Genomic DNA, 12,967 nt, shown 5'->3' on the forward strand with positions numbered 1-12,967 from the left:
TGGATATCAAATTGTTTCAGAATTATTTATTGAAGAGACTATCCTTTGTCAATTAAAATGTATTGGGCCTTTTGCTGAAAATTGGTCAGCCGTAATGCAAGTTTATTTCTGAATTCTCAGTTATGTTTTGTTAATTCATATGTTTATCCTCATGCAAGTACCACATTATCTTAATTACTTTGTATCTTTTACAGTAACTTTTAAAATTGTTTATTGTATCTCCTACAACCTCCTTTTCTAAATTGTTTTTCTGATTCTGTATTTTTTGACATTCACTATATATTTTAGCATAAGCTTGTCAATTTCTATAAAACAGCCTGCTGGGGTTTGATAGGAATTATGTAAAGTCTACAGATAAACTTGAGGAAAATTACTATCTTAACCTCATTGAATATTCTAAATCCTTAGCTTAGAATATCCACCCATTTATTCAGATTTTCTTCAATTTTTCTCAGCAATGTTTTTTAATTTTCAGTAAGCAAGTCCTGTAATTTTGAATATTAAATTTATATCTAAGCATATTATTTGATAATTCTGTGAATGATTTTTTAAATTTTGTTTGAATTAGTAGTTGTTTATATATTGAAAAATTCATTAATTTTTGTAAAGTAATACATCTCGTGACCATGTTTAACTCATTAGTGCTAGCATTTTTTAAAAATGGATTACTTAAATTTTTCTATCTAAAAGATCATGTCATCTGTAAATAAAAAATGTTATATACTTGATTTTCTCCAATCTGGATGTCTTTAACCCCTTGCCTTTCTCTCTCTCTCTTTATCCTTCCTCCTTCCTTTCTCCTTTCCTCCTCCCTCCCTTCCTCCCTCTCTCCCTCCCTCTTCCTTCCTTCCTTTCCTCTCTCGTTCTCTCTCTTTCTTTCCTTTTCTTGTTCCACTGAATAGAATCTTCTGTAAAATGCTGAACAGAGGTCATGAGAGTGGACATCTCTGCCTGGTTCCTAATTGTGTGAGGTAGAGGACATTCAGTCTTTTCCAATTAAATATAATATGAACCACAGTATTTTCACTGATGCTTTATATGAAATTGAGATAATTCCTTTCTTTTCTTAGTTTCTTGAAAATGTTTATTATAAATATGGGTTAAAGTTTGCCAAATGCTTTTCCTATATCTATTTTTTCTATTATATTAATATAATGTTATATATTTTTATTTTTAAATGTTATACCCAACCTGCTTTTGGAGAATAAATTTACTTTATCTTGTTATTTTATATGCTGGTGGACTAGGTTTGCTAATGTTTATTAGGATTTTGTGTCTATGTTAACAAGAGGTATTAAATTATAGTTTAATTATTCTATGTGTGTGTGCAATGTCTCTGTCTGGATTTGGTTTCAAGTTAACGCTGGCCTTATGGAATAATATGAATAGTGGACACTATTTCCTATTTTCTGAGAGAGTTTGTAAAATATTGGTATAGTTTAATTTACAGATTCGTGTGTGTGTGTGTGTGTCTTTGCCACATAGAGTCGGGTATTAATTCACTATAGTAATTTTTTCTTAAAGTTTTAGTTATTGTAGTTTTCAAATCTGAAATTTTTACCAGGTCATTTATAAAATAATTATCACAGTAACTAATGCTCTAGTTATTGAGCTATTTTCATCACATTTTCTTTAATTCCTAAAAATGGTTTTGTTTAGTTATTTTTCCCCCAATATATTTAAAGTAGCTTGCTTAGATTTTTTTTTCCTAAGCCCAATATTTATGCCATCTCTGTGACAGTTTTTGTTACATGGTTTTGATTTGCTTTTTTTTAATAGTAGGAAAAAATTTTACTGTTTCTTTCCTTGTCTCATAATTTTTCATTGGAACCTGAACCTTTTCATAAAATAGTTCTACTTTGTGGATTCAGATCTTTTGTCCCTCAAGGATTGTTGTTGAATTTTTGAATTCATCTTTTGTTTCTATAATGACTTGTGTGTACTAAATCTATAGATTCTGTTCCCCATGGCATGTGGCTGCTGATGTTTCTGCTCAATTGAAAGTGTGTGTGTGTGTGTGTGTAATCTTGTATCACTTAACAATGGGAATGCATTCTGAGAAATGCATTGTTAGGAAATTTCCACACTGTGTGAACATCATAGAGTGTGCTTACACACACCTAGATGGTATAGCATCTACACACCTAGGCTATATGATGTAGCCTATTGTTCCTGGGCTACAAACTTGTATAGCATGGGACTATACTGAGAACTGTTGGCAATTGTAACACAGTGGTAAGTATTTGTGTATTTGAATATATCTGAACATAGAACAAAATATAGCAAAAACATGATACTGTAATCATATGGGACCACTATTATATATGCTGTCTGTGTTGGCTGAAACACTAAGTGGCACATGACTCTGTGTGTATGTATAATTATTACTGTTATTTTTTGCCTGGCTTCCTAGGGTCATCTTTGTGTCTGAATAGCATATTGGTGAGCCGGTCATTAATCAGAGGTTGTGGTCTAACACCTCAAAAGAATAAGTCTTCCATTGTATGACAGTGGATCTCTGTGGGTCAGGGGACACTTTCAATGGTTCAGTAGGTTTGGAGTCTCTTCCTTCTTTAATTTTGTTGTGCATGCTCATATGTCCTCTACAGATAATCACAGGCCAAAGTGAGGAATGTGTGAAGATCTTGGCCTCTCTGAAGTCTCATAGACATATGGAAGCTCACCAAGGACCCCATATCTGTCTCATTTCTTGGATGTCCCTGATAGATGCCTGAGGGTTCTGCCATTCTGTTTGCCTGAATCCATGCCACATCTTCATTCTTGCTGAGTCACTTTTCTTCTGTAGATTCATCATCAATGTTGCTCTTGTTACTGATAGTGCTGCTTGAGCATGGTGTCTTACGTTGTTCTACTTCATATCAGGTCAGGCTCCTCTGGCAAAGACTTTCAGTTTTTTTCTCCTCTGGTAGAACTATCACTGTGACTCAGCTGTGGTGGGGGAAGGGCGAAGCCCCAAGTAAGGATGCCACAGGCTCCCACCCTTCTTCCTCAAAATCCAGTTGTTTCTTTACAGTAAATGACCACTTCTTAGTTCAACGTTTGCTTTGGTCAATTTCCAGAGTCCTGATGGGGTGATTGTTGGCAGTAATGTCCAGTTTTATTAATTATATTGCCACACTGGAAGTCCCACTTCACAAAAGTTTTTGGTTTTGCTCTTTTACATTTTAAAAGGAGCAGTTTTCAGCACTGTATACTGTAAATTGGCATTCCTGATGTGGCATACTATGTTCTTTGATGTGAGTATGCATGGTCCTATGTCAGTAAAGAGGAATTGAACCAACCTCACTTTAGGAAATTGAGAAGGAATTTCTCAGGAAAGTACAGGCCTACCTCATTTGACTACACTTAGTTTCAACATGCTTCTCACTGAAGGTTTGCAGCAACTCTGTGTTGAACAAGTCTACCAATGCTATTTTTCAATAGTATGTGCTCACTTTCTGTCTCTGTGTCACACTTTGATATCTTCATAATATTTGAAACTTTTTCATTACTATTATGAAACAGACTATTACTATGTCTGTTATGGTGATCTGTGATAATTGATCTTTGATGATACTACTGTAATGGTCTTGGGGCACCATGAATTGTGCCCAAATACAATGGAAAACTTAATCAATAAATGTGTGTATTATGAGTGCTCCACCACCTTGCTGCTCTTCCATTTTTCTTACTCTCCTTGGGCCTTCCTATAACCTTAGATAAAACAATATTGAAATTAAGCTAATTAATAACACTACAATGGCCTTTAAGCATTCACGTGAAATGAAGAGTTTTGTGTCTCATTCCTCACTTTAAACCAAAAGCTAGACATAATTAAGTATTGTAAGAAAGGCATGCCAAAAGCTGAGATAGGCCTCTTGCACCAAATAGCTAAGTTGTGAATGCACATGAGAGGTTCTGTAAGAAAATGAAAAGTACTACCCCAGTAAAAACACAAATAATAAGAAACTGAAAAACACCTATTGCTTATATGAAGAAAATTTTGGTGGTCTGTGTAGACGATTGAACCAGCCACACCATTTTCTTAAGCTACAGCCTGATCCAGAGTAAGGCCATAACCCTCTTCTATGAAGACTGAGAGAGGTGAGAAAGATGGAAAATAACAGTTTGAAGCTAGCAGAGGTTGGCTCATGCAGTTTAAGGAAAGAAGCTGCCCTTATAATATAAAAGTGCAAGATGAAGCAGCAAGCATTGAGGTAGACGCTGCAGCAATTATCCAGATCTAGCTGAGATCATTGATGAAGGTGGCTACACTCAATAGATTTTCAATGCAGACAAAAGAGTTTTTTATTGGAAGTAGATGCCAAATGGGACTTTCCTAACTAGAGAGAAGTCAATGTCTGGCTTCAAATCTTCAAAGGACAGGCTGATTCTCTTGTTAGTGGTTAATGCAACTGATGACTTTAAGTTGAACTCATTGTTCACTTACAATTCGGAAAATCCTAAGACCCTTATGCTAGATCTACTTGACATGTGCTCTATAAATGAAACCACAAAGCCTGGATGACAGCAACTGTTTACAGCATGGTTTACTGAATATTTTAAGCTCACTATTGAGAACTACTGCTCAGGAAAAAAGGTGCTTTTCAAAATATTACAGCTTATTGACAATGTGCCTGGTCACCCAAGAGCTCTGATGGAAATGTATGAGGAGATTAATGTTTTCATCACTGCTGATACAACATTTATTCTGAAGTCCAGGGATCAAGAAATAATTTTGACTTTCAATCCTTATCATTTAAGAGATACATTCTGTAGCCCACAATTTCTGTAGATAGTGATTCCTCAGATAAATCTGGGTAAAGCATACTGAAAAACCTTCTGGAAAGGATTTATCCTTCTAGATTCCATCAGGAACTTTCAGGATTCATGGGAGGAAGTCAAAATATCAACATGAACAGGTGTTTGGAAGAAGTCGATTCCACCCCTCATGGGTGACTTGAGTGTTTCCAGACTTCAGTGAGAAAATAACTGCAAATGTGGTAGAAGTGGCAAGAGAAGTAGAATTAGAAAGGGAGCCTGAAGATGGGACAGAATTGCTGTAATCTCATGATAAAACTTGAACGGATGAGGACTTGCTCTTACAGATGAGCAAAGAAAATGTTTTATTGAGATAGAACCCACTCCTGGTGAAGACGCTATGAACATTGTTGAAATTATAGCAAAGAATTTAGAATATTACATAAACTTAGTTGATAAAGCAGTATCAGAGTTTGAAATAATTGACTCCAATTAAAAAAGTTCTATTTCGGGTAAAATGCTATCAGATAGCATTAGATGCTATAGAGAAATCATTTGCGAAAGGAAGAGTCAATCAATGTGGGAAAATTTATTGTTGTCTTATTTTCAGAAATTGCCACAGCCACCCCGACCTTCAGCAACAACCACCCTGATCCGTCAGCAGCCAGCAACGTCAGTGTAAGACCCTCCACCAGTGAAATGGTTATGAGTTGCTGAAACATTTTTTAGCAACGAGTATTTTAAAATTAAGATCCATAAACTTTTGAGACATAAAACTATTGCATATTTAATAAATTTCAGCATAGTGTAAACATGCCTTTTAGATGCACTGGGAAACCAACAAATTCTTGACTTGCTCTGTTGCGATGTTCACTTTATTGCTGTAGTCTGGAACCGAACCAACAATATCTCTGAGGTATGCCTGTATGTTTAATCTTTGATCTACAAAAAGTAGAAATTTTTCATAAATAGAAGGTTAAACAAACAGACAAGTAAATACATCACATCAGTCAGGAGGAACAGTTTGTGCAATGATGCAAATGCAAGTGAAAAGGCAGCAATGTTCTTTGTTTACCAGTTTGTTTCTGATCAAAATGACTGGCTGGGGGTCTACTCACCAGAGACACACTTGCATAAGTCTTTAAAGAAAAGGAGATGAAGAATCAGGCATGTATATTTGAAACACTGACAGCAACGTAGTTATCCAATGGAGGAAGCAAGTTGAAACAGATCTTCATTTCTGAAATTTATCTCTAGGGTTGTCTTCTTCTCTGAACCAAAAGTTCCATGTCAGGTTCCTGTGGAGAGAAACAGCTCAAATTAAAACATGGAGGAGCTGCCTTTTTGATGAATTGCTTGCGGTGCTGAGCATAGAAAGCAGTATATTTCCACCCCAGGGCTCTTCCACCCAGATGCTGGTGGTCTTCTGCAGGTCCTCTCAATACCTCTGCTGATTTGGATCTAATCTCATGGCCTCTGACTGTCTGAAGTTTTTCTCCAACCTCAAAAATATTAATAAACTGTGAAGGAAATCAGGACTTTTGTATATCTATTAGTGAGGTCTTTGCCATCATTTCTCCACATATCAATTGTTCATCCAGACACAGATTTTCTGGATGGGAGAAATCACTGGGACGATAGGAGCATACTATCTAATGGGTCTAGCTTCGGGATTAGTTGACATTTATAAGATCACCTTCAGATATAATTCTTTGAGAAAATGATTTTAAAGCAAAATTCGATATCTGTAAAATGAACACTTGCCAATGCTTGAGAGCAAGAAGGATTTGTAAGCCAAATATAATGCTGTAAGAAATTGATATAAATTGATTTTTATTTAGTGTAAAAAAGTCAGAGTACATTGTAGAAAATGCATTTATGTTAAAATAAGGAAATAATAATAATAATCCTGACACTGTACAATCTTGGTCCCTTGACCACATGACCAAGTGGCATCATGGCATCAGGCCTTACTGAAGTCAAGTCTTCTTACTTTTTCTTCCCGAAATAAGTCTGACTTTCAAAATTTGTTAATGAATCTGATGTTATATTTTTTACTTACTGGATGGGCAGTACTCTTTTAGGCCAAGTCAAACCAATTTATTTTTGTGTAAATATCTAAGATCACAAATGCAATTTTGTTTAATTTATGGACAGATTTACTTTGACTTTGGAATTGAGGTGCTATTATAACAAATAGGGACTTACAGAACAACAAAAATTAAATTAAATTGTAAGTAATCACAGGTCTAGGGTAAGGAAATTAAAAGGAACAGAATGTTCACCGAGTTTCAGGGCTGCGTATGCAGGTGCAAGCTGTAGCAAACCTAGCTGTGTCATCGATCCCAGTTAGGGAAGTTGACATACTACCAAATTTTACCTTTACTGTGTAATTTATAAACAAATTTGTTGACATGCAAATTATAACTTGTCCTGAAAATGTCTTTCACTAATTAAAGCTTGCAGAAGCCTGGGAAGGGCTGAATAATTAATACAATGCTGGCATGTTTTTTAGTCAAGTAAAGTATTACCAAATTAGATGTCAAGATTAAGGAAAATGAACTACTTAAAAACACATTTTAGTTTTTTAACTCTCTTTACTTTTGAAATATATTCTGAGGAACCTTCTGCCAGGAGGAGAATATGAACTCTTAAGTACCGAGAATCTGCTAGATGCCACGTCATATGCAAGCGGTTCCCGTCTTGTTTCCCCTCAGCTCTGTGTTGCCCACAGCAGCTCCATCCTTAGCCCAGCCAGCCAGAGTGTTCAGACTAACTTGGCCACGATTCATCTGCCATCACGTTGGTTACATAATGGCAGGGTACGGTGAAAAGAACATAGGATCTAGAGTGAGATAAGCCTGGGCTCAAATTCTCATATCTTCATGTATTAGCTTTGTAACATTGGAGTGATTACTTTCTGAACTCTCTGAACATGTGCTGATTCATCTATAAGTCATTATAGGCATCATATAGGTTGAATAAGAGAATCTAATCAAACACCATAGTGACTACTCCAAAAACTATCTCTCCATTTTGTTTAGTTTGGGCCATGTATCTATTAAACAGGTAACAAAATTACGCACTTAGTAATGAATAGGGAGAATGACGATGAGTAGAACATTGCATTAGAAAGAAAGTCTGCCACATGTAGGGATCTTTAGCTTTGAAAACTGAGTAGATGTATCCATTTTATTCTAGAAAATGACATAATTGCTAATGATATTATGGTATAAAATATGAAGCTTTTAGCAAGTAATAATAATGATAAAACTTTCAAACAACTGTCACTATCTGACTCATTTTCATTTGCAGATTGAAGAGGTTTTATTAGGTATGCGATGAAAGAGATTTCTGCCTGTTGGATGGGATTGGCTAAGCACCACTAAGTAATAATTATTATAATAATGGTAGCTAAGCACCAGTTCAAATATATTTTGTTTAACTTTGTATTCCACAGCATCTGGAAGTTCCTGCTATGTAGTAGACATTAAACACATATTGTTGATTTAAATTCATGGACTTCTCGTTTATCACCATTAGCACAGCTCTCATGATCCACCCTCTTCCCACGCCAAGAAAATACATGTACACCTATAGGCCTGAGGTTCTCCTAGAGAAAAAGGGTTTAAGTTTGTCAATGTAGACATTTTTTTTTTTTAACTATAAGGAAGTTTTTAGTGTTATCCTGTATTAGGAGGAAAAATATTTTGTCCTAAAAGTGTAAGACTATTTTTGTGTATGTATGTATGTATGTGTGTGTATGTATGTATGTATGTATGTATGTGTTTGTATTTGTTTTTGTACATATGTACGTGTGTGTGTGTGTGTGTGTGTATTTGCAAGGCATATAATCAAATTTTCTCTGATGGAAAGAATATTAAACTTTAATGTAATAGATGGAGCCATTTTATCTTTATAGTGATAAAGAACATGCAATTGTAAATATTTTGAGGAACACATGTTACACCCTAATCACCTTTAATCTAGGGAAAAAGGGCTGGAAAAAGGCTGGCAGGAGGTGAGCCAGGGCTGTCCTCAGAATGAATAATCCATTTGCAAACAACCTACATGATTTCAGTACAGTCAGTACATTCTCAAATGGCCAAAATATTTATTATTTTAATATGTTAATGTGAATTATTTGATGTCTTGTAGGCAACGATGTTTCCATTCCTTTCTGCTTAATGTTAGAGGAGTACTATCTTCATAATCATAGACACAATTGATGCAGCACAGCAAAGAGATCCCTTTGTAGTTTGTGGAAATCAGTCATGATGTTAATGTGCTCATACAACAAATGAAAACATTGATTGATCTGAATCATTGATTAATATCACTACCTGTAGTGATATTAAGCAGGCACAATCATACAACAGTATTTTTATGAATATCAGTGTGCTTTTAAATATTAATGATTATCAACAAAGACAGAAGTACATAGCAGACAAATTCTAAATGGATCCAAAGTGATACTATAAGTTGCAGAATTATGTTTGAATGTCCAACAAGACTTTTTATAGGGTTTATAGGTTCCAAAACCAGATAATTAATCCAGTCAGAAGCAAAATGATTTGGAGGCTGAAGGAGAATGAAAACCATTACTCCAGAGCAAATGGTAGACAAGATGGCATACAGAACAGGCTGAGAAATGGCAGAGCATGTTTGAGAGGTGGGGTTAGGTCATGAATTAGTCCTGTAGATACCCTATGTGGTTAGTTGCAAGGGGGCTATCAAATGGCAGGTATCACAGCCATGTTTATGCCTAAAGGTCACAACTGTGGTAGATGTTTTTGCTTTTGTTTGCTTTTATTTGTTTATTTATTTATTTTTACTCATTTTATTCATTGTGACTTGACGGGGAGCAATGTTTGTGCTATATGATTCTGAGAGCTACTATTTGGGTATTCTAAGATATTTCTTCCTGTTCATTTTTTTTTTTTTCGTTTATGGACAAAACTTAGGCAGTATGAGAGTGTATAACTTTAGATGGGCTGGTAGCTGGAAGCAGCTGAGAATTTGGATTCTTTTCATTCTTTCCCCACATTTCAATGTATCCAAGAGATGTGCTATGCAGACTGCATATAGATCTTTTCATTTCACCAAATTATATAACTTTCTGTACTAATCTCAGTAAAGATTAACAAATGGAGTCAGCTGGTAAATCTTTAGCTAAAATAATTGATCCTTAATACTTCTTTAACTTTGGGCTTTTACAAGATGTGTAAGGTGGGATACATTTAAATTGCAAAATATTATGTGCTAAAATGGCAGGTATTGTATGAAGTTTTGCTCTTTGTAATTTCCACTTTAAGTATATACTCAAGAAAAAAAAGTAATCCAGTAGATGTCTAGGTTTTGAGCTATTATTCTAGATTTAATTGTACATAAATACTGACTACAATTCCAAAGAAACACTTTTAAGTGGGTTTTTACCTATATCATGGGATAATTTTTGTACATCTTTGATTTTTTTCTCTTTGTTTTTTAGTAGCGGGGTCTCACTTTGTCACCCAGGCTGGAGTGCAGTGGCACAATCTCGGCTCACTGCAGCCTTGACCTCTGGAGCCTAAGCAATCCTCCCACCTCAGCCTCTAGAGTAGCTGAGACTAAAGGTACACACTACCACGCCTGGCTAATTTTTATATTTTTTGTAGAGACGGGTCTTGCCATGTTGCCCAGGCTGGTCTCAAACTCCTGGACTCAAGATATCTTTTCACATCAGCCTCCCAAAGTGCTGGAATTAAAGGCATGAGCCACTGTGCCCAGCCTGATTTTTTTCTTCGTTTTTATAAGTTACCCTTAATCATTACAATTATTTTAAATAACTAAACAAACAACAAATAGCTACTCTGATTGAAATGACAAAACTGAGATATTGCCACATCTTCCAAAGACTACTAATGTACTATTACACATTTCATATCTAAAAGGAATTTTTCCTATTAGAGGAAATGAATCTCTTTTTAATATCAAGCAACCTGGAAACAGTGACATCTATAGTGGGTGGGGCATGAGGAAACCTGAAGCTCCATTTTAGGGAAAAGATAATCAAAAGAGTATGGAAAAAAAATAGGCTGCATAACTTGGAGTCAACTTTTCCTTCAGAGGAAAAAGGGTGGTTGAGGATGAACAGTCAAGGATGGTTTAATAGAGAGGCTGGGACTTTAAGTTAGCCTCAGTAAATGGGTAGAATTTGGGTAAAGAAGAAGGAAGGAAGGAAGGAAGGAAGGAGGAAGGAAGGAAAGAAGGAGGGAAGGAAGGAAGGAAGGAGGGAAGGAAGGAAGGAAAGAAGGAATGAAGGAAAACAGAAGAAGACAGAAGGAAGGAAGGAAGGAAATAAAAGAAAAGAAGAAGAAGAAAAAGGAGGAGGAGGAAGGAAGGAAGGAAGGAGAAATAGATATTAATTTCTTACATGTCACTGAATGGCTCCCCTTCTCCCATGAAGGATAGCTGTTTAAATGGATTGAATCCCAAAACTATGGTACTGAATCATTATTGAGATTTAATTTTGCAGTGTCCCAAATATATCAATTATGTTGGGATTATCACAGTCATTTTTGCTAAAACTAAAAATGGAATCATAAATCTCTCTGAATTCTAATGATTTTCTTCGGATTAATGTACTAGGAATCCTGTGTAGCTGATGTGCTCACCTATAGAATTAATTGAAGCAAGAAAAAGTAGGAAGAATAACTTCTTGCATTTTTTATTATAGATATAATTTCAATAAGTCACTGATGCAAGAGAGGGGAAAGCCGCGGTGAAATCACCAACTGTCAATTACATTAAAACCCATGAGTTTTCAACATATGGATTAAAGCATCTTGCAATCTCCCTTAGGGAATTTGTTCTTGGAAAATCCCCATGGTTTAAATTTCTACTGCACATGACATTCTGTGGATGGGGGAAGGGGTCTGAGCTAGACTGTGCAGTAAAAGCATGTGCTTTTGGTTTTGCAATGTGTCCTCTTGTGGTCCTTCTCTAATAGTGCTTCTACCTACTCCGTCAACAATCCAGAGGACACCTTCTTTTCCTTTAGCTTTCTGCTCTTACAATAAAAGTTTAATTAAGAATGAACTATGTTAATTAACAAGGCATTGTAATTCAATACTATCTCCCCTCCTCTGAGAATTTTAAAAATAATTCAGAGAGCGTTCTTTTCAGGCATCTGTTATATCCTGTATATTGTCTAGGTAGCCAGTATACAATGATAAGCTGCTGTTATTTCTCATGAAGAATCTAAAACCCGGAGTACCTTCAATGTAAATAATAAATCACTATTTTGAAGAATTGTGTACATTTGGGAAGCTGTCTTAGTGCTTTTGAAATGACTTCAGTATGTCAGTTGGTCTGGGGATTGAATGAGGCTAGTCTTCAATCTACCACCTTGAGGGCCTGGTGATAGACTGAAGGGGAAAAGCAGAGTCTGAAGATAGATTTAACAATAATTGCAGAGATGTCATTGATATTTATGTTGTGAATGAATAGCAAGGCACGGTGAGAACCTCGAGATTGAAGAAGTAAAATTGATACCCAGGGAGGAGATCACATACCTACCAAAAGGAAAAGGTGAAACAAGAAGTGGTTTCCCAATGCTAAGGCAAAAAATAGCAGTGTGAGGTTATTGTCTAACAATGACAAAATATGGATAACAAAGGAAAGGGGTGGTTGGCTTAAACATAGAAAAATGCAGCCTCAATATTGGAAGTGTTTATCCAAAACTGTTAGAACTCCATAAATAAGAACAAAAGTGAAGATATTCTAACTTGGTGAAAGCAACTCAGCGACATTCATTTCCTCCAGCTTAATCTTTGTACATATCTCATTCTCAGAATATATTTCAATATTTTTTAGCTGTTTGCTATTATCTAGAGAGAATGTGCTGAGATACAAACACAATCCACTGTGCTGGATAATTATATGTTTCACTAAAACACATCTACGAATTTTCTAGTTTTTATGTGTGGCTTTTATGAGTTTTGTTAGTGTGAGTCTTCCCTACACAACTTCACGACTGAGAGGAACATTTAAGGTTCCCAGAGCCAGAGTCAAGAACGAGAAAACCATATCAAACCAGTGTCAACCAGCAAGACCCTGCTAGACAGTCCGTCCAAATTTTCTTTTCTTTTCTTCTTTTTTTTTTTGAGACGGTGTCTCACTCTGTCACCCAGGCTGGAGTGCAGTGACACGATCTCGGCTCACT

At 35.7% G+C, this 12,967-nt stretch overlaps 1 annotated feature.

Annotated features, from left to right (window-relative positions):
- Positions 2,383-3,582: an enhancer, noted in NCBI's record as "MED14-independent group 3 enhancer chr2:4635935-4637134 (GRCh37/hg19 assembly coordinates)". NCBI's record gives its function as "activates an origin of replication core promoter dependent on BRD2, BRD4, P300/CBP and CDK7 cofactors, and independent of MED14, by STARR-seq in HCT116 cells {active_cell/tissue: HCT116}" and the evidence as "EXISTENCE:reporter gene assay evidence [ECO:0000049][PMID:35650434]".

Source organism: Homo sapiens, chromosome 2, assembly GCF_000001405.40.
Source record: "Homo sapiens chromosome 2, GRCh38.p14 Primary Assembly".
NCBI classification, from domain to species: Eukaryota; Metazoa; Chordata; class Mammalia; order Primates; family Hominidae; genus Homo; species Homo sapiens.